Raw genomic sequence first — 23,143 nt, 5'->3', positions numbered from 1 at the left:
CCTAGGAGTTCAAGGTTGCAGTAAGCTGTGATCACACCACTCACTACACCTTAGTCTGCACAGTAGAGTAAGATCTTGTCTCTTAAGTACTAAAGTAATGAGTTATTTTAGCAAGGTTGCTGAATACAAACAACACCACACAAAAATAACTTGGATTTTCTTTATACCAGCAACAAAAGGAACGTGCAGTTCATTAATAGAACTATTTAAATTTTCAAACACAGGCAAAACTAATCATAGTGTCAGAAGTCAAGACGGTTATCTTGGGATAGATACTGATTGTGACTACAAAGGTATAATAGAGCTTTGAGGATGCCTATAATGTTTTATCTTGTGCTAGTTACATGAGTGTGCTTAGTTTGAGAAAATCACTGTTTTAGATACATGTTAAACCTCAATTTAAAAGTTCAGAACTTCAATTTGTACATTAAAAAAAATCACCAAACATATTCCCTGATGATGAGTTAGAAGAAATAAGTCCCCCAAGCAGTAAACCCATTAAAGATAGAGAGAAATGGAATGTTACATTCCATAAAATGCAGGAAGGATGCATTTTAAAATAAAGACTCTTTTCTTCCTTTTTTTTTTTAAATAGAGAATTTTAGCACCCTATACTGATTTTCACTACAGACATAGTCCAGATACAGCTGAAGGACAGCTCAAGTAAGTAACATTGGTTCCTAATAATTTTTAAGATAATGTATATGTTAATACTAAAGCTTTTAGGTTTGCGTGATTCCATGTACAGCCAGAGAAATGTGAGTTTAAATAAATTTTCTATTTTATAGAATTAGTTGCATTTCTCTCATAATTTACTGTGGTTTAAAAAATTTAAAGCTTTGAGAAATTTAAAGATTAATTTCTTATTTCCAAAAATATATGGTAGACTGTGACAGAAACCAAGGTCATTGTTTTTGTAATGTATATATTTTAGCATAATTACATTTAAAAAACCAAAAGAATGAAATAACAGTAGATAGTAGAATGAAGAGTGACCTTAACTTACTGAGTCAGCAGAATGATGTAATATGTAGAATTCTGAGAATAAGTTTAATACAGAAATAAATGAGAATAGAGTAAATATTATTATCTAGAAATGAGACAGTATAATTTTCAGGGTGTTTTTGGAGAGAAAGGCACATGTTCACTAGGTATTTGGAGATAACTTTAACATAATTTAGGGATCAAATAAAGCACTCTGTAAAGATTTTGCAAATGACACAATTCCATTAAATACGCTATCTAGTGTTTTTTCTGGTAGACTTTATTGCACTGCAATGAGTTTAATGTAGACATAAACTTACTGTGATACATAGTATACATTGCCAGGGAAATGTTTTTATTGTTTTTCATTTTTCCCCTGAGTTAAAAATAGTGATTCCTGTAATCCTAGCACTTTGGGAGGCCGAGGCGGGTGGACCGCCTGAGGTCAGGAGTTTGAGACCAGCCTGACCAATCTGGTGAAACCCCGTCTCTACTAAAAATACAAAAAAAATTAGCTGGGCATGGGTATTCCCAGCTACTCCAGAGGCTGAGGCAGGAGAATTGCTTGAACCTGGGAGGCGGAGTTTGCATTGAGCTGAGATCACACCACTGCACTATCCTGGGTGACAGAGCGACACTCTGTCTCAAAAAAAAAAAAAAAAAAAAAAAGTGGTTTCATACCTTCAGTCACATCCATCATTGTGAACTCATTCTCACCCTAACATACCATGATCTACTTTGAGCTAAGAGATCAAAGTAGATGTCCTCTAAGACTTCTCAAACTTATTCCTGCAAACTTCAGTTATGAATCGGAATTTGTAAGGCCCTTTCTTGGCTTCTTTTGAAATATAGACATTCTCTTATTGTGGAGAGTGTATGAGTTTTCTGTTGCTGCACACCAAATAACAATAAGCATGATGGCTTAAAACAATACCAGTTTATTAGATCACAGTTTGATAGGTCAGAAGTCTGGCTCAGGTCTTGCCTGGAGGCTCTGGTGAAGAATCCACTTCCAAGGTCATTCAGATTGTTGAGAAAATTTAGTTTCTTGCTACTGTACAACTGCTATGCCTTTTTCTTTACTGGCTGTCAGCTGGGGCCTACTTTCACCTTCTAGAGGCCTCCCACATTCCTCAGCACATGGTCTTCTCCCTCTGCAAAGGCAACAATGCTGGAATCTTTCTACTGCTTTCAGCCTCTCTGACTTTTTCTTTGGCTACCAGCTAGAGAAAGCTCTCTAATTAGATCAAGCCTGCTATATGCTGTATACTCTTTCTTATGCTCTGCTAGACAATATAACATAAACATAGTCACAGTCATAGCGCTGATACCTCACCATGTTCACAGGACCCAGAGATCAGGTCATGGAATCTTGGGATAGGGCCATATATAGAATTCTGCATATGATGATGGACAACAGGTGAACCTAGATATTTCTTAGAATTGGGAGGGTGGGGCTATTCCATCAGAATCTTTCCTATTTGGTTCTGTACTTTCTTCTAAGTTTCTGGAGTATAAGCAGGTAGATATCAGGCCTGTAAATAAGGGTATATTATGACCAGGGAACAGGGAAATGACTGATTTTTAAAATATTACAAGTTTAATAGGTTAGAGATGGATTACCAAACAGTCAATGTATGTCACCAACTTTTTTAAGAGAAAGCACTGAAAGCTTAATCACACAGGTGTCTGATTCTCCCTTCTTCCAAGCCACCCCCGCCCCCATTTTCATTTCTGTTATTTTCTCATTTTAGCTGGTGCTGCATAGCTTAGTCTTTTTCTTTGAGCTTTTCAATCCACTTTTGTAGACTAATTGCTCACTCATATCTAATTTGATATTCTGTCATTGCTGTTTATTCCTTCTACTTTTTGTTGCTGTTTTTCCCAGTTCTGTGATTTTTTTGTATGCTCACAACCATTAAAAATTTAAGTAGGAAAGATTAAAAAAAAAAGGTGGCACAGGAAAAAAGGGACAATCGACAGGGTAGACATGGTGGTTGGAGTGACATAAAGAGACACAAAATTGCTATTAAGTATTGAAACTGGCCATAAGCCAACCATGAAAAATGTTTAATAGATATAAAAAATTCAGTTGCTTAATTGTCATAACTATTGTAGAGGAGGGAATAATGGAAACAGTTGGGTACATAATTGTCAAGGAAGAAAGTAGCTGGTGATGTTAATATGTAGTTATTTCATAACATTTCAGTGACTATATAGGTTGTTGAACTTGCTTGTTGGAAACGTTCAAATAAGTTTAGAGCAAAGATTGTGAAGTAAACAGTGTGTGTGATTAAAATTAAGAGGTTTTTGTGATAATTTTCTTTGCTAAGGGGCAGCCTAGTACCACAGATGCTTATTAAGCAGACTTAATGCTTAATTAAATCTTATCTAAGAATAGTTTTCAGGGAGCAGGAATATAGAACTGAGTAGAAAAGCAGAATTTATGACTTAAACGATGTTGTGAGTTTAAGTTTGAAGTCAGTTTATAATTGGCTAATTTGCTTTAGTGTAGATCTGATCTTTGTCTTGTTTTAATTTTATGTGTAAATGTTTAAACATTAGTGATAGCTCTTATTGTGATTTAGTAGCAGGAAAAAACTCATTTTAACATTTTATTTCATTGATTCTCCCCGCTGCCTCCCCACCCCCAACAGAGAAGACAGAGAAGCACGATTTCTAGCCAGTAAAATGGGAATCATAGCAACATTCCGATCATGGGCAGGTAGGTTACTCTACATTGCTTTATAACATCCAAGAAGAAAAACTAGACTGCTTTTTCAAATGTTAAATTATTATTGTAGCACCTAATTCAGATGCTAATCTAGTCTTACTTTGTATATTATTATTAGAACCAAAGGAACTCGTACAAAATTATTAAAATATGGTGAAGGAAATTTGTAATAGTCAATAGGAATTAGCTAATATTATGATCAGTATACACATATTTATTATTTGCCAGTCACTGTGCTAATGATTACCTGGGCAATTAAAAAAATTTAAGCATGATCTTTACCAAAAAAACCTACAAAACTTGAGTGTTAGCTGTGTATGTAACTAAAGTTTGTTACTTAAAGTACAGTGTAGTGTCATAGATACAAAATAAGCAAGATAGGCCATTAATAGTTCCAAATTTCTTGAGAATAGGGATTGTGCATGTTTTATCTTTCCATGGAATAAAAAGTAAGTATTGTTTTTAAAATAATACCACCATTAAATGTGTTGTTAATAACATTGGGGTTTTGCCATTAAGAGTAATTGAGAGTAATGGCAAAAACCGCAATTACTTTTGTACCCAATGTATTAATGATTATCTTCTTCCTTCTTGATTTAGTATTATTGTGAAGGGGTAGCATGGAAAAGAAGTAGCAATAAGCAAAAAAAGGAAATTCACCTAAACATTTCTGTGTACCTAGGTAACCCTAACTTAAAAATACCTTTTCCATACAAATGTTTACTCCAGCCATTTGTATGGGAAGGCCACTTGGCCCCTAACCAGTATGTTTCCAGGGATTTTCTCTGATCTCTTAGCAGCTTGGTAAAAAGCTCTGCCTTGCTATACCTCATAAATACCTATTTTCCTTATGCTGATGGACAACCATAGGATTCTATGATGACTCAACAGTCATACATACTTTTTTTAAATACTTCATCAGCTCCCCAGTACTTTGTTTTCTGTAGTTACAGTCATCTTCCTTTACCACTCCTCATCTTCCTTGTCATTAGAGCTGTTTGTATCTTACCAAAAAAATTAATTCTATCCTGCATCCTAGCTACTATCTCCTTATTCTTCCTACGTCCAGACTCTACGCTTCCTGTAATGATGTCTGTTTCTGCCAGTCTTTCCTTATTGCTCTTAAACATTTTTTTTTACTGTGTTTCAATTTCCCCTGGAGCCCTTTTATAATGATTCATCATTAGAAACTTAGAGGGGTGGGGCTGGGTGCAGTCGCTCATGCTAAGGTGGGTGGATCACCTGAGGTCAAGGGTTCAAGACCAGCCTGGCCAACATGGTGAAGCCCTGTATCTACTAAAAATACAAAAATTAGCCAGGTGTGGTGGCGGGCACCTGTAATCCCAGCTACTCGGGAGGCTGCAGCAGGAGAATTGCTTGAACCCAGGAGGCGGAGGTTGCAGTGAGCCAAGATCGCACCACTACACTCCAGCCTGGGTGATAGAGCGAGACTCTGTCTCAAAAAAAAAGAAAGAAACTTAGAGGGGTGGGAGTCTTCTACCTTTCTATTGAAGTAAGAAGAGAAATATCAGCATTATAAGTTAAAACCTTGAAAGCATTTGTCTCGTGGAAATAACTTCCTAAATAATATTTATATTCTGTAGTACTGTTTATAAGTTAAATAAACTTTTGTGTACTTGTAACATTATTTCTGTGATGTATTTCCAGTTCCAAATAACTGATTGAAAAATGATCTTTTAGAACACATTTTTTAATGAGGTGCAACAGCCTGTTTTCCATATTAGCACAGAGTATGATCTTTTGAGACTATATCTTATCTGTAATTTCTCAAACTACTCTCAGACATCAAAATTTGCGAAATAGTATTTTGATACTTTAAGCAAATAAGCTTACCTAGTATGTTTCGATTTGAATTTTGATCCTGAATCTAAAGAGAACATAGAGACTGTTCATAAATATCTGTACGCTTAGCTGGAAGTACAGGGAACTTTGGAGTCCTATAAGACATTTTAAAGAATGTTTTCCCTAACATGTCATAAAAAATTTGAAACATACAGAAAAATTGAAAAAACTATACAGTGAACACCCATATACTTCCACCTAGATTTTACTGTATTTGCTGTATTATATATCTGTCCATCCCACTGGGCGTTCATCAGTCCATCTATGTTATTCTAATATATCTTAAAGGAAGTTGCAGACATAGTCCTCTTCACTCCTGAACACTGCAGCATGCACATTATTAACTAGAACTAGATGTCTGTTTATGGTCCTGATTTGTTGTCGGGGGGAGAGATTTGAGGTAAAATTTACATACAGTGAAATGCACACATCATTAGTCTACTGTTTGATGCGTTTTGACAAATGCTTACACCTTTGTAATTCAAACCCTTTTCAATATATAGAACATTATCATTGCCCCAGAAAGTTCTCTTATACTCTTTCCTAGTCAGTTTTTGACTCCGTACTCCTAAGAAGGAACCACCATTATTTTTGTGGCTTAGTTTTGCCTATTCTGAAACTTAATATTAGTGGAATCATACTGATAAGGCTTTTTTTTGTAAGGCTTCTTTCACTTGACAGAATGATTTTGATACTCATTTATGTTATTGTATATATCAGTAATATGTTCTTCTTTTTTATAATATTTCATGCAATGAACATTTCAGTTTTTGTTGTTCTTTTTTTTTTTTTTGCCCTTCTGTTACTAGATTTGACTATTCAAAGCTCCTTTATCAAAGATAAAGCTTCTTTGAGCAATTCCATACAAACTTTTTTTGTGGACATGAGTTTTCATTTCTCTTGCGTAAATACCTAAATGGAATTGCTGGGTCTGAGATTGGATGTATGTTTGTGTCCATGAGAAACTGCCAGACTTTTTCCCAAAATACTTACACTATTTTATACTCCCATCATCAGCATATGTGACTCCCAGTTGTTCTGCATCCTTGTCAGTATTTGGTGTTGTGAGTCTTTAATTTTAGCCATTCTAGTAGGTATATTTTGATTTCTTGTTATTAATATAGTTTGCATTTCCCTGATGACTAATGATATTGAGCACTTTGTGTGTGTTTATTGGCTATTCATACGTCTTTTGTGACATGATTTTAATATGTTTAAAATTGTTCAACTTAGTTCTGTAACTTAAAAATTTTGAATCATATAATTTATTTGAAGTCTATTACTTATACTCATGTGCATTCAGTATATTTTAGAATTGAACTTTAATAAATGCCAAGTAGAGTTTTTCACTTTAAAGTGAGGAGTATAAAAGAGGGGAGACAGACCATTGTCTGATTTTTCTCCCGTGTTCTTACTCCCAGAGAAGAGTTCATCAGGCAGTCAGACTCATGAACTTTCTGGGTATTAAACAGATACTGAAGATGGAATTTAAATGACGAAATTATTGGTAATCTCTAATCAATAGAGAAATACAGAGTATGCTTCAAATATATTTCAGTTATATAATAGTTCTTATGATGACCAAATAGTATCATAATCATATAATTTTGCCTAGAAAAATATGACAAGTTTTATATTATACATTGCCATAGAAATTTTTTTGAAATTCATGTCAGTGATTTTTTTTTCTTTCTGTCCTCTTTAGGTATTATTAATTTATGTAAACCTGGAAATTCTGGGATCCAGTCTCTAATAGGAGTACTTTGCATACCAAATATGGAAATAAGGGTAGGTAAAAGTTATTAGGATTGTTTCATTCCTGGACCTTTAACAGTGGGAATTAATTATAAAAAAAAAATTATTTCAGGTGATGTGTTTTCCTCATTAGTTGTTAATCTAGATCATATTTTTAAAATACAGAAGTAAATATTTACTACTTAGTTAAACCCTAAATATAATAGGAATCATTTAAAATATTGCTGTTGTCTGGGCACGGTGGCTCATGCGTGTAATCCCAGAACTTTGGGAGGCCGAAGTGGGTGGATCACGAGGTCAGGAGTTCAAGACCAGCCTGACCAACATGGTGAAACCCCATCTCTACTTAAAAAAAAAAAAAATACAAAAATTAGCTGGGCATGGTGGCACACGCCTGTAATCCCAGCTACTCAGGAGGCTGAGGCAGGAGAATCGCTTGAACCCAGGAGGCAGAGGTTGCAGTGAGCTGAGATAGCGCCATTGCACTCCAGCCTGGGTGACAGAGCGAGACTCCATCTCAAAAAAAAAAAAAAAATTGCTGTTGTTAGGAATAATGGCTGTATTAAAAATTGAGTTGAGGCCGGACATGGTGGCTCACGCCTGTAATCCCAGCACTTTGGGAGGCCAAGGCAGGTAGGTGGATCACCTGAGGTCAGGAGTTCGAGACCAGCCTCCTCAATATGGTGAAACCCCGTCTCTACTAAAAATACAAAAAGTTAGCCAGGCACCTGTAATCCCAGCTACTTAGGTGGTGGGCACCTGTAATCCCAAGTACTCAGGATGCTGAGGCAGGAGAATCACTTAAACCTGGGAGGTGGAGGTTGCAGTGAGCCAAGATCGCACCATTGCACTCCAGCCTGGGCAACAAGAGTGAAACTCCATCTCAAAAAAACAAAAAAAAGTTGAGTTGAAAATATGAACTTTATTATGCTTTATTCATTAAAACAATATAAACAACACACAAGGGCATTCTCACTATAAAAGGTTCAAGCACTACAGACTACGTTTAACAAAAGGTAAATGTATTTATGCCTTCTAACTTATGTTTTGTAATATGTGGTGAGATTTTATTTTAACGATGGTGGTTTTGATTAAAATGGAATTGTTAATATTTCTATATTTATTAGGTATATTTCTAAATTATTTGTAAGAATTTGTATTATACAGTTAAATCGAATTTGAAGGAAAAGAGAATTCTTAAAGTGATTTTTTTCCTTTCTCCTTAAATGTTTTTATTTGTTTTAATTTTGTTTCTTTCTTTTGCCCTTCCTTATATGAACCAAACCTGGAGGTGAAAAATATTATTAGAAAATATTAGCCAGGTGTGCCTTGTTTAAATGTGAAATAAAAAGTATTTAGATAATGGAAATGGAAGGATATAATTATAAATGGAAAGATCTGTAAGCAGGTAACAAACTTGAGATAATTCACTTCTTACTGTAATAGGTGGAAAAAGAACATGGTCTTTGGAGAGTCTGACCAACTGGAGTTTAACCTCTGGTTTTATTTACTTTTTTGTTAGCTCCATGACCTTGGGACAATTGCTTTTTTGCACAATTAGGTTAATGAAAAATTTAATGACTAGATTAAGTGATGTATGTAGTAGTAAGCATTTAGTTATCCCTTCTCTAATATAGGCCTTATACAGTTTCAAAATATGGTATAATCATGCATTGGTTAATGATAGGAATGTGTTCTAAGAAACTCACTGTTAGATGATTTCATCCTGTGAACATCCCAGAGTACTTACACAGACCTAGATGGTACAGCCTACTACACACCTAGGTTATGTGGTATAGCCTGTTGCTTCTAAGCTACAAACCTGTATAGCATGTTACTGTACTGAGTACTGTAGGCAGTTGTAACACAATGGAATTCGTGTATCTAAACATCTAAACATAGAAAAGGTACAATAAAAATACAGTATAAAAGATTAAAAATACTGGCCGGGCACAGTGGCTCACACCTGTAATTGCAGCATTTTGGGAGGCCGAGGCGGGCGGATCATGAGATCAGGAGATCGAGACCATCCTGGCTAACACGGTGAAGCCTGTCTCTACTAAAAATAGAAAAAACAGCCGGGCATGGTGGCAGGCACCTGTAGTCCCAGCTACTCGGGAGGCTGAGGCAGGAGAATGGTGTGAACCCGGGAGGCGGAGCTTGCAGTGAGCCGAGATCACGCCACTGCACTTCAGCCTGGGCCACAGAGCGAGACTCCATCTCAAAAAAAAAAAAAAAAAAAATTAAAAATACAGCACCTATATAGGCTACTTACAGTGCATGGAGCTTATGGGACTAATAGTAGCTCTGGATGAGTCAATGTGTGAGAAGTGAGTGAATGTTAAGACCTAGGACATGACTGTACACTACTGTAGACTTTACAGACTTGTATACTTAGGCTACATTTAATTTATTAAAATTCTTTTCTTCAAAAATAATTAGCTTACTGTAACCTTTTTAGTTTATAATTTTCAAATTTTTTAAACTTTTGACTCTTTTGCAATAATATTTAGCTTAAAACACAAACACATTGTATAGGTGTTCAAAATTTTTTTGGTTTTATATCCTTATTCTATAAGATTTTTCTGTTTTTAAATTTTTTTACTTTTTAAACTTTTTTGTTAAAAACAAAAACACAGGCCAGGTGCGGTGGCTCACACCTGTAATCCCAGCACTTTGGGAGGCCAAGGCGGGCAGATCACCTGAGGTCAGGAGTTCGAGACCAGCCTGGCCAACATGGTGAAACCCCCATCGCTACTGAAAATACAAAAATTAGCCGGGCGTGGTGGCAGGTGCCTATAATCCCAGCTACTCAGGAGGCTGGCGGCAGGAGAATTGCTTGAACCCGGGAGGTGGAGGTTACAGTGAGCCGAGATTGTGCCACTGCCCTCCAGCCTGGGAGATGAGCGAGACTGCCTCAAAAAAAAAAAAAAAAAAAAAAAAACTCCTCCCCCGCCAAACACACACTAGCCTAGGCCTATACAGGGTTAGGATCATCAGTATCACTGTCTTCCACCTCCATACCTTGTATGTCTGGAATGTCTCCAGGGGCAGTATACTGGAATGTCTCCAGGGGCAGTATACATGAATGAAGCTGTCATGTGATAACCATGTCTTGTTATGGAATACCTACCTGAGGCTGTTTTACAGTTAACTTTTTTTTTTTTTTTTTAAGAGGCAGGGTCTTGCTGTCACCCAGGCTAGAGTGCAGTGGAATGATCATAGCTCACTGCATCCTCGAACTCCTCGACTCAAGTGATCCTCTTGCCCCAGCCTCCCGAGTAGCTAGGACTACAGGAACGTGCCACCACACCCAGTGAATTTTTAAATTTTTTGTAGAGATGGGGTTTCACTATGTTCCTAGTCTCAAAATTCTGGCCTCAAGCAGTCCTCCCACCTTGGCTTCCCAAAGGGCTTTTTTTTTTTTTGTTTTGTTTTTTAAAGTATAGAAGTACACTCTAAGATAATGGTAAAAGGTATAGTATAGTAAATATGTAAACCAGTAACATAGTCATTTATTATCATTATCAGGTATTATGTAATTTTACATAATTCCATATATAATGCTTTTAAACAACTGGCAGTGCAGTGGGTTTGTTTACTCCAGCATCACCACAAACAGTTCAGTAATATTGCCCTGTGACAGACAATATGACTGCTGCTACAGTTTCACTAGGCGATAGGAATTTTTCAGCTTCATCATAATCTTAGGGAACGACCATCGTATATATGGTCCATCATTGACTAAAATATTGTTATGTGACATGTCATTGTATTAATAGTTCTGTTTTTATCATTTTAAAAAATGTGAATAGGACATTTAAAAATCTTAAAAGTGTTTCATAAAAATAAATGAGGTGTATTTGTTTGCTAATTTAGCGAGGTCTACTTGAAGTGCTTTATGATATATTTCGTCTTCCTCTACCTGTTGTGACTGAGGAGTTCATAGAAGCACTACTCAGTGTAGGTAAGTATTGAAGTACATTTGTATCTTTTCATATATTGTAATTTTTATTTAATGGAGACAGTTCCTAAAAGGAGAAATACTAAATTATTGAACACTATTTTCTTTTCTTGCTGCATAATTGTGACAGGAAATTAATATAAAAATAAAACCTCAAGTTCCTAAGACTGAGAAATTTTAATTTCTTCTTTATCACCTTGGCTCTAAGAGCAATTAAATTAATAGGAATGGGCCAAAAAAGGAAGAGAGGAGACAGTAAGAAACCTATGTAATCCTCAGATTATCTAATTCTCATCTTATTTGAGCCAAATGACTTAAAGTACCGAAGTCCCAAAATGAAGAAAATTAGATCTGCGTGTATTTACATAACTAATTTTTGTCTGTATCTTTTTGAATGTATGGTATTTAACCAGCACTTTTTAAAGTTCTTTATAGCCTGGCTAGCTGATGGTTTTATACTTATCTGAAATGTTTCAGTGATATCTAATCTTTTCCCTACCATATTTTAACTAATTTAGATCCAGGGAGGTTCCAAGACAGTTGGAGGCTTTCAGATGGCTTTGTGGCAGCTGAGGCAAAAACTATTCTTCCTCATCGTGCCAGATCCAGGTAGAATTTAAAATAAAAAGGGTTTCAATTTATTAGAATTCGGGTTTTTATGTTAGACTGTGTAATCTATGAAACTTTATTTAAATTGTTTCTGTGCTGTTTTTTCCAGGCCAGACCTCATGGATAATTATTTGGCACTGATACTCTCTGCATTTATTCGTAATGGACTTTTAGAGGTAAGACTTATAAACCTTATTTTATTCCATTTTGTTTATTTTCTCTAACAGATTCTTTCATGCCAGGTGTGGTGACTCACGCCTGTAATCCCAACACTTTGAGAAGCCAAGGCAGGCGGATCACTTCAGGCCAGGAGTTCGAGACCAGCCTGACCAACATGGTGAAACTGTGTCTCAACTAAAAATACAAAAATTAGCCATGCATGATGGCATACCCCTGTAGTCCCAGCTACTCAGGAGGCTGACACACGAGAATTGCTTGAACCCGGAAGGCAGAGGTTATACTGAGCTGAGATCTTGCCGTTGCATTCCAGCCTGGGCAACAGAGCAAGCCTCTTGTCTTAAAAAAAAAAAAAAAATTTTGAAAAATAAATCTGATGCATAAATGTTTTCATATGTATTATTTTGCAACAGTGGTGTTATCTTTTTATTTTCAAAGGGTCTAGTTGAAGTGATAACAAACAGTGATGATCATATCTCAGTTAGAGCTACCATCCTTTTAGGAGAGCTTTTACATATGGTAAGTTTAGCAACTTCTGATTATATGTTTCATACCTTTAATGTTTGAATTTATAAAACAAGTTATTTTAATAGTGTTGCTTTGTATTATCTCAAAAATAAATTTGCATTTCTTATAAATGTTTATCTTTGCATTAGAAAAAGCCCTTGGTACTGTATCCTGAGATAGATATGTACGTGCGCGCATGCGCATGCACATGCATATTTTGATTGGTTTTGTAAATGGAATAAATATACAACATGCAAAGTACTGAAATGTTGATTTTTACACTCACTTTCAAAGTTGACATTTTCGTCCTGTAAATCTTAATTGATCTCAGAAAGACTTCCTAAGAAGCAAGAAATTGCAAAACTATGGATACTACTTCAGTCTGCTAAGAATGTACTTGATACATGGTAGTCAGTGCCTGAATTTTAGAAAGCTTTGTGCAGAAGCTTTAAATGTAGTCTTGGTTGAACATTATAGTCTTTTCTATAAACTTGTAGTTTGAGGTTCAGAAGATGGGTTTTTTTTGTTTTGTTTTGTTTTTTTTGTTTTTCTTTTCACCATGATTTTGTGATTACAGTAACTTTTGGAAAGTAGGAGCTAGGAAAGTGATTTGACAATTCTTACTGTCAGCAAATCAATCAATGAGGGATCCCTGATAGTTTGCAAGGTAGGAATTTATATTTTTAGATTACTTACTAGTTAGTAAATACAAAATAAAAAGAACCATTTAAAACTCATTAAGGAAGAATTGATTCTATGGCAAATCTTTTGAAATTATGTCACAGTTTGCTATTTTTAGCAGATGTTTTTTGTTTAGGTTTTTCTTTCTTGATCTCTTCCCCTCCTCCCCACCCTTGTTTTCCCTTCATAGCAACTGGGCTATGTGAGTGAGGTAAAGAGCATTAAGCAGAATTTAATTTAACTTTCTTTTTTTAAATCAGTGAATTATTTAGCTGCTTGCTCTGTTCTTTTTTGGCCCATCTGTGAAAGAATTATATAGAGTCAGAGGCTTTCAGGTCTGATTATTTGTCTTTTAATTCTTAAAAGATACCATTTCCTGTTCAAGAATACCAATATTCAGAGTTATTTGCTTTTATATGAAGGAATCTCTATACATTTTATCTTTTTCCCTTGTCCCATACCTAGAATTCTATAATTTTCTTGAAATAAAAGAGCTGGTTATTTTGCTTATTATTCTTACATTTTCTATCTTCCACATTTGATCGATGTACTTGTCTTCATTGATAGCTGGTTGGGTGGTGAGGTTTTTGTTTGGAAAGTAGAAATTAATATTTCTTATTTTAAAGATTATGGCATATGGGACACATCTATTTTGAGAAAGTAGTTTTTAAAACTTAAGAAGTCAACTCATAAATTTGGATATGGCATCTAGCATTTTAAATGTTATTTTAAACATAACTTAGGTTGATTCCTGTAATGTTTTGACATATAATCCCTTCTGGCATTTAAGAATTGAGTTTAACTGGGTACCACTTAAAACCATAATATTATAATAAAGAATCTATGAAACTTAATGGTTATGTTAATATGTGTGTATCTTTATATTCCATCCTTGTTGAAAGTATTATAGATATGATAAAAATATAAATAAGCATGTATTGGGGAAAATAAGTTAATTTTATGAGTAAAACCTCAGAATTTGTAATAGTCTTGAATACAGCATTATATGTGCAGGTAATCTGTGACATAAACTCTTTCTACTTCTGAAAACTCATGTAAAATGTTATGCTTCATTTTAGGCAAACACAATTCTTCCTCATTCACATAGCCATCATTTACACTGCTTGCCAACCCTAATGAATATGGCTGCATCCTTTGATATCCCCAAGGAAAAGAGACTGTAAGTATCAGAGCTTTAGCAAAGCTTTTGTTTGATATATTTAATATCAAATTAGATTATTGTCTCTTCTTTTTAAAAAAAATAGTATGGATAGGTTATGGTGGGAAATTCTTTTAAGGAATTTGCTAAAGGAAAAATTAATAGTTCTAAAAATATTTAATAATTTGTCTTTTAGGCTGCAAAATACTAATAGTGTAATAAAATCACTTTTTTCTAGCATGTTTGTAGACAAGGACATAGAATGGTTATCATATTACTAAAAATGTTAGCTGAGAGGTTTTTGGACTCCTTTATGTCATGAGCAGCAATTCTGGCTCTTTTTTTTATGTCTATGAACTATTTCAAATAAAGCTTTACAGTATTAATATATTCTTTTATTTGCGTGGTTAAAAATGTTGCAATTTAGTAACAAGTACTACTGGGCCACATAGCAATAAGCTGAACTCCTGCTACTAAAGGAGATACTGCAAACATAGAATTTACGAACAAAATTATGGTAATACAATTGTAGCTCTGCTGGAATTCCAGTGCTAATAATAAAATATATATAAAAGGTAATGATGGAAGGGTTCAATTGGGAAGTGCTAGAAGGAACTTAGTTTGACTTGGCAAAGATTATATCTACGCTAGGAATGTCTTTTTGTGGTTGTTTTTTTATTTTGTTATTATGATCAAAAACATACATGGACGATTTTATTTTTTTGCTTGATGTTAGTGAAATGGAGTTTTTTAGCTATTCAAAACTATGTATTTTTGTTAAGAGTTATAGTACATTTTTGAAAAGTTTACTTAGCTTTAATAATAAAGTACGCTTAATAATCTGTTAATTTTCATTCTGCCTTTGGAAATACTGTTTAACAGACCAAAGTTGTCTTATAAACTGAGGGCATTAGGAGTTATCTCAGTTCTGTCTCTAGGCTTACATCAGTAATAGTAGCTTTTAGCTTTTATATTAGTAGTTTCATGATGGAAGAATGTACTTTCCCAATACCTGATAGACCTAAACTCTGGGTTAGATTATGGCCACAAATTCCAGGGTTTATCAGGAATTCAAATTTATCTTCAGAATTCCAGTAAGAATAGTCCTCTTAAAATAGTTTTATCTTTAGCTCAGTAAGCTTTCTTTATTGATAAATACTTGCCAGTCAGCACATCCCAATATTTAAAAATTCCACTTACTAGAAATTCTGAAGGTGAGACTTGCTACCAAATTCTTGAAAGTGGCACTTGTATTTACCACAAAGAATTAAATATAATTTATAAAAATATACCATTTACAGTTACAGACCAATGTGGAAAATAGAGACTGTTCAGTTGATACTGGGATCATTGATTATCCATATGGGAGTACAGTGAAATTATTTCAACCTCATATCATAAACAAAAATAAGTTTCAGGCGGATTAAGGATTTATACGTGAAAAGCAAAGCTTTAAAATTTCGATAAGAAAATATAGAAAACTAGGTTTCTGACCTTGTAGTTCTTAAAACCAATATACAAAAAATACCTACCACCATAGAAGAAAAGTTTAGTAAGTACATGTTCAATTGCATCTAAATAATCAGTGTGTCTTTATATAAATCAGTAGTGTTATTTTTTGTATTTGTCTCTCCAAATTTGATGAAATAATTTACTTTATCAATAATAATTTCTAGCCTTGATCTTACGTAAGCTTTAATAATTTACCAAGGTAATCTCTTAAATTATATTGGTCTTGCTACTGTATTGATTGAATTGTTTTTCTCATTAGGCGAGCCAGTGCAGCCTTGAACTGTTTAAAACGCTTCCATGAAATGAAGAAACGAGGACCTAAGCCTTATAGTCTTCATTTAGACCACATTATTCAGAAAGCAATTGCAACACACCAGAAACGGGATCAGTATCTCCGAGTTCAGAAAGATATATTTATCCTTAAGGTGCTGACATGAAATCATGATTTTCATCTTAAACACAACATCTTAATTCCTTAACCACTGGATTTTAGTATGCATGTATTTGAGTTTACACTTCTCTTCATGCATATGAATTTTCAGATGGCTTCTGAGTTTTATAATTTGGAGATGGGTTTTTATAACTTTAAAGTTAAAAAACCTTGATCTATCCTTAAATGGAAAAGCTGCCTTTCATTTTTTCAAATTTGAACTTAGTTTTCTGATATGAGGACAGTTTGCCTTAATTTTTCTTATTACTTTCTGATGATTTTAGGATACAGAGGAAGCTCTTTTAATTAACCTTAGAGATAGCCAAGTCCTTCAACATAAAGAGAATCTTGAATGGAATTGGAATCTTATAGGGACCATTCTTAAGGTATGAAAAGATACTTCATGGTAATGGCTTGTCTTTAATTTTATTATTAATTATAACGTAATTATCTTATATGTGTGAGAATTGATAAGTACATATGTAATATAACATATTATGTTTTTCTAGTGGCCAAATGTAAATCTAAGAAACTATAAAGATGAACAGTTACACAGGTATGTAAGAACTATTTTGCATTTAAATTTAAAGAACTTAAATATGGATATTAGGCCTAATACCTGCTAAAATATGTAATAATTTTAAAGACATATACATACATTTTAACAATGTCTCTTCAATAGGTACTCATATATATTTTTAATATAGTCTTATTTTATAACCAAAACATATTAGCAAATTCTTTTTCTAGTTATTTACATTCTGCTTTTAGTTTTGGAATAGATGAAGTAGTTGAGATAAAAGTTTTTCAAATTGGGGTAGTATCAATTGTATAGTGGGTCTTAGCCCTGACATATGAGGATGACATAATAAGGACTTATATTTTTAATATACAACTTTTATTCCTGTTTGACTTTGGAGTTATCCATTATAACTGCTGTTTACATTCTCCTTAACCACACCTTCCATAACCCGTGCAAATGTTTGTAGCATGAAGAACACTTTAAGCTACGATGCTGTTCTTCATTACACCCATATGTTTTTACTCCTGAGTTTAGACTAACCAGCTATTACTACTGATCTCAGAAAGAGGTCCTTAGTATGTTTGAGAAATTCATGTCATTAACATTATTATTTGATTGCATTCTGTATTCATGATATGTAACCTAATATCTATAAAAGTTTTAAGAAATAAAGATAACTTATAAATTGCACTGAAATAAAAAAGCATAGTACTAACTTTTTATACTCCTTGAGAACACAGATGATGTCTTACTCAACTTTGTTTTCCCAGCTCCTGGATTGGACACCTCTATTGGATTGAATTGTAGTGCATGAAATTGAACTGAACTAAATTCAGTAGAAGCTTAGAACATAATGTTGAAAGATATAATGTTGAAAGATCATAAATTATGTCTATAAATTCATTGGCCTAAATTGCAACTTTCATGCTTGACCTTTTGCCTAATTGTGAAAAACCAACAAAATCATAGTGTAGTATCTTACAATTATTATCTTAACAATAGAACATTATTGAGCCATGGGACAAAGTTCTTCATGAATACAATAGAAGAAAATTTAAGTTCAGGTGACATCCTCATTTATCAAATTTTTATATTCTAGCTATGTTAAATCTGCATTCATCCATCTAGCATCTTTCTTCTCCTTTATTTTTTCTAACCATCTCACCATAAAATTCTTACTCCACAGAGATTTTTTTTTAAATGAAGGTTTTTTGTTTGCTTGGTTTTTGGGGTTTTTTTTGGTATGAAATGTACTGTATTAGTCCATTCTCATGCTGCTATAAATCACTGCCTGAGACTGGCAGTTATTTATAACTGCCTCTACAGATAATATAGAAATTACCTATAAAGGAAAGAGGTTTAATTGACTCACAATTCCACATGGCTAGGGAGGCCTCAGGAAACATAATTGTGGCAGAAGGGGAAGCAAACATATCCTTCTTCATATGGCAGCAGGAGAGAGAAGTACAGAGCACAGGGGGAAAAGCTGGTGATAAAACCATCAGATGTGAGAACTCACTCACTGTCACGAGAACAGCATAAGGGTAACCGCCCCCATAATCTTATCTCCTCTCATGAGGTCCCTTTCATGACATGTGGGGATTATGGGAACTACAATTCAAGGTGAGATTTGGGTGGGGGCACAGGCAGACCATATCATGTACCAAACACTTTTAATACATTTCTTGCCATTTATCCCAATGGTTCAGACCCAAAACATATTCTGAAAGCCTTATTATGTCATAAGTAATGGTTAAGATTCTAAAATAATTGCTTCATTTCTTACCTTTTTGCTACTTGTGTTTTGATTTTAGGTTTGTACGAAGACTACTTTATTTTTACAAGCCCAGCAGTAAATTATATGCCAACCTGGATCTGGATTTTGCCAAGGCCAAACAGCTCACGGTTGTAGGTTGCCAGTTTACAGAATTTCTTCTTGAATCTGAAGAGGTGGGCATTCTGAATATTTTCCAGAGCAAATGTTTTTTATTGAATTTGCTTCCCTTACCCTCCCTCTGTTTCCACCTTGTGTTTTGCTTTTATTTCTGAATATGCATAAGCCGTATTTGGAAACATAAGAAATGATCCCAGACCTAGAGTTGAATCCCGACTTAGTCACTAGTTATGAGACTGGGCAAGTTATCTGCCCTCTAGAAAACCTGGTTTACTCTTCTGTAAAATGGAGAATAATATCATCTCCATGCAGCATTGTGTTGAAGTGGATTAGAAAACAACAGGTACTCACTGATTGATAGCTATTATTGGTAACTTCATCATTATTAGTAAGTTTTTGTACTTGATTGAAGTTGATTTTCTAATTACAGATTTTGAATGCTTTTCTCACAATATCACAATGTATTTACTTTTAGGATGGGCAAGGCTACTTAGAAGATCTAGTAAAGGATATTGTTCAGTGGCTCAATGCTTCATCTGGAATGAAACCCGAAAGAAGTCTTCAAAATAATGGTTTATTGACCACCCTTAGTCAACACTACTTTTTATTTATTGGAACACTTTCTTGCCACCCTCATGGAGTTAAAATGCTGGAAAAATGCAGTGTATTTCAGTGGTGAGCATTCCCAGATTTTGTTGCAATATATACATGAACTTTATTTTTAATGTAGTTAGATATGGTATGCTTTTTATTCTGTGTACATGTGTTTGGTTAAGTTTTATTTTAAATTAGCATTATCTTTGCTTTAATATTCTTTTTAAAATTGTTGTTATTAAATGCTTTCTTTCCAAAAAGCTTGTTTATATTAGGAATTTTAAAAATATACGTTGAATTGACTTCATGCTCTTCCCACTCCAGCATTCAAAATAGTAACTATGTATGATGATTGATGTGTTCATTGATTGTGGTAATCTTCACAATGTATGTGTATATCAAATCAAGTTATACACTTTGAATAATACAATTTTTATTTGTCATTTATACTTCAGTAAAGCTGGAAAAAATATTTGTTTAATTAATGTATCAATATAGTAATTTCTTTTAACCATTCTTATTTTTTTTTTCTTTTAAGTCTCCTTAATCTTTGCTCCTTGAAAAACCAAGATCACTTGCTAAAACTTACTGTTTCTAGCTTGGACTATAGCAGAGATGGATTGGCTAGAGTCATCCTTTCCAAAATTTTAACTGCAGCTACTGATGTGAGTATAACATAGCCAGTAAAACTATATTTATAACCAATTAATTCACTACTTTATGAATTTTGGGCTAAGTAAAATTAAGTTCTAAGAATATGATATGGAAATTGAGTTTACTTTAAAATTTTAGTTTCTCCAAGGAACTGCATATAGTACTCAGATTTTTGTATCGGGGGAAGAAGCTGCTAGATAGAAAGGGAAGTATTCTATTTCACAAGAACCAAAAAAGTATTCATATCAAGGGCTAGACCACCAATTCCAGGCATTCTTCCCTTTTCAAGTAGCAGGACTATCCCAAAATAAAATCAAATAGGCTATTTATGCTGAAGTTTTTTTTTTTTTTAATGTATTCATTTATCCTTATAGGCCTGCAGACTCTATGCAACAAAACATTTAAGGGTATTATTGAGAGCTAATGTTGAATTCTTTAATAATTGGGGAATTGAGTTGTTAGTGACCCAGCTACATGATAAAAACAAAACGATTTCCTCTGAAGCTCTTGATATCCTCGATGAAGCATGTGAAGACAAGGTAAAGGTTCATTTTTTATAATTTAATACTTAAATTTTTTTGAAATACTCATTTGACAATTATGTAAAAGTATATAATAGGCATTTTGGAACTAAAAATTTTGCTATTTTTGTGCAATTATAAAAAAATAATGATAATCTCTTTTAGGCCAATCTTCATGCTCTCATTCAGATGAAACCAGCGTTATCCCACCTTGGAGACAAGGGTTTGCTTCTCCTGCTGAGGTAAATTTTAAGTAAATTTTCTGTTATGTTTTTTTGTTGTGTTCTTTGGCAGTGTATATTAAAGATAGATTCAAATCCAAATGGGAAGTACGCTGAAGAGTTTACCTTTTAATATTGAAACATTGTCTTTTCATTATTTTGGGTTTTTCTTTTTTTTTAATTTTTTTGGTCTGTTCATACTTTTCATGACATTTTCCTTTTTTTTATTGAGACGGCCTCGCTTTGTCATCCAGGCCAGAGTGCAATGGTCCAATGTTGGCTCGATGCAACCACTGCCTCCCAAGTTCAAGTGATTCTCCTGCCTCAGCCTCCCAAGTAGCTGGGACTAAAGGCGCACACCACCACGCCCAGCTAATTTTTTGTATTTTTAGTAGAGTTGGAGTTTCACCATGTTGGCCAGGCTGGTCTTGAACTCTTGACCAGGTGATCCACTCACCTTGGCCTCCCACAGTGCTGGAATTACAGGCGTGAGCCCCCGTGCCTGGCTGACATTTTCTTTATTGTGATTGGGTTCGCGTGTTGTTGCAAAGATTGTGAAAATTTATTTGTAATTGAAGTTATAATAAATTATAGTTGACCTTTTAGTTTTAGGAACGAACTATTCCTAAAGTCTTTTAGCTCCTTATACTTTTTTAAATTTTAGTTATTTTAGCTTCTTAAGATACGTTTTTGCCAGACTCAATGTTAAACTATTGCTTGTTTTAATTTGCAGATTTCTCTCCATTCCAAAAGGATTTTCCTATCTGAATGAAAGAGGTTATGTAGCAAAACAATTGGAAAAGTGGCACAGGGTAACTTCTTATTTGAATAAAGTTGAATTTGTGTGTTTTTATCTTCTGAAATTGATTTGTGAATTTAGAGGATGGTTTTTTTATATCAGTGTTTTGAAATTAATAAGGTTAAATATTTAAACATCAATATCAAGTTGAATCCTAAATTCTGCATAATTGCTAGTATTTATAGTTATACATTTTTTTAAACTACAGTTATTTCTTTCATTCTGAACTGTTGACTGTATTCGTTCTATTGAAATTTGACTCTCAACTCATTTGATTTTATAATCTAATTTTTGGCCCTGTTTATCATTTCTTTCATTCTTCGGTCCCTTAATATGGCCTACAACTTTGCATGAGCCCTTTAAGCTAAAACCAAAATAATTTTTTTAAATGAAGGGAGATTGAAATCCCAAGGAGATATAATCATTTAGTTAAACTTTACTTTAGGATACTACTTTACCTAAATCTGAGAATGAACTTCTTGCTGTCATAGGGAAACCTGCTAAGAAGGGAGTAGTTTGAAGATATGAAACAACTTTTCTAGCTTTTCTTTAGCTGGTGATTGCTGTGGCTTCATTATTTTGTTTGAAGTATTATAAGTCATCGAAGCATCTTGGAAACCCATGGTCAAAATGATCTTTACCGATATAAATGATTTTTAGATTTTTCATCATTTCAGATCAGTTATCCTGTTTTCTCTTTTTTGTTAACATAGTTACACATTCTTTTATAGTGTCTATATTGAACCATATTTCATAAGAGATACTCCTTAAATGGACTAAAACTTCCAAGCATACAACTTAAGGCATGAAGTCTTTTAGTATTTGATGAATTGTAGAACTGAGACAAGATGTGATAGGTTTGTTTCCTAGAAGATATTTAAATCATCATAATAAAATTTATTATACAAATCATAGTATTAGAAAATTGCTTAGAATATTGGTGCAGTGCTTGAAAATAGCATAAAATATAAGAGCTATAACAAAGTTACATGCAAGGTATAAGGGAACACAGAGGAGAGATTAATGATTCTGCCTTAGGGATTATCAAAAGAAATGTTGAATAGGAGCCGTAGATGTGATACTTGAAATGGTCTTGAGGAGTAAGTAGGCAAATAAATTAGAAGAAGGGTATCCACGGAAGAAGGAGCAGAATAAAGCTGTATAGATCATTGGAACATTATAGACTTATGAAGAAAGTCATATTCCAATGTAGTTGGAACTAAGGTAAGTGTGGAGTGGCAAGATGAGGCTGGAATGGTAAATTAAAGCTAGATTGTAAAAGGCCTCGTAAGCCATATTATATCATCCTAAGGGATTTCAATTGTATATATAGTGGGGAATCCTTAACAGCTTTTAAAGAGTGATCAGAGTTGTGCTTTAGTAATCTGACAGGTTGCAGTGAAGAGGAGGAATTTTGATCATTGAAGGTAAAGTCTAGAAATATTGACACAAGTTTAGAAACAAGAATTGATGAGTGCCTGAACTTCACTGGTAGTTAGGTTGATTAGATGAGGACGCATTTTCTGGGTATTTTCAAAATAAGATGGACAGAATTTGTGGGC

General features: G+C 34.0%; 1 protein-coding gene across 11 annotated transcripts in view; it reads left to right on the top strand.

Annotated features, from left to right (window-relative positions):
* The window catches only part of RICTOR (RPTOR independent companion of MTOR complex 2), a 136,480-nt gene that overhangs the window by 95,154 nt on the left and 18,183 nt on the right, over positions 1 to 23,143 (top strand). For 10 of the 11 annotated variants that reach the window (NM_001438249.1, NM_001438049.1, NM_001438247.1 and 7 more), the window contains 17 exons: positions 596 to 663; positions 3,642 to 3,709; positions 7,287 to 7,369; positions 11,216 to 11,303; positions 11,819 to 11,909; positions 12,019 to 12,085; positions 12,525 to 12,605; positions 14,354 to 14,454; positions 16,205 to 16,370; positions 16,660 to 16,761; positions 16,885 to 16,931; positions 18,713 to 18,848; positions 19,268 to 19,467; positions 19,925 to 20,051; positions 20,415 to 20,579; positions 20,727 to 20,803; positions 21,516 to 21,594. In NM_001438249.1, coding sequence (NP_001425178.1) covers positions 596 to 663; positions 3,642 to 3,709; positions 7,287 to 7,369; positions 11,216 to 11,303; positions 11,819 to 11,909; positions 12,019 to 12,085; positions 12,525 to 12,605; positions 14,354 to 14,454; positions 16,205 to 16,370; positions 16,660 to 16,761; positions 16,885 to 16,931; positions 18,713 to 18,848; positions 19,268 to 19,467; positions 19,925 to 20,051; positions 20,415 to 20,579; positions 20,727 to 20,803; positions 21,516 to 21,594 — 1,746 coding nt within the window. The remainder of the gene's footprint in view (positions 1 to 595; positions 664 to 3,641; positions 3,710 to 7,286; positions 7,370 to 11,215; positions 11,304 to 11,818; positions 11,910 to 12,018; positions 12,086 to 12,524; positions 12,606 to 14,353; positions 14,455 to 16,204; positions 16,371 to 16,659; positions 16,762 to 16,884; positions 16,932 to 18,712; positions 18,849 to 19,267; positions 19,468 to 19,924; positions 20,052 to 20,414; positions 20,580 to 20,726; positions 20,804 to 21,515; positions 21,595 to 23,143) is intronic. The other variant, NM_001285440.2, reaches the window with a different exon arrangement.

This window comes from Homo sapiens, chromosome 5 (genome assembly GCF_000001405.40).
Source record: "Homo sapiens chromosome 5, GRCh38.p14 Primary Assembly".
Classification (NCBI taxonomy): domain Eukaryota; kingdom Metazoa; phylum Chordata; class Mammalia; order Primates; family Hominidae; genus Homo; species Homo sapiens.
This window is presented reverse-complemented; position numbering and strand designations above follow the sequence as displayed.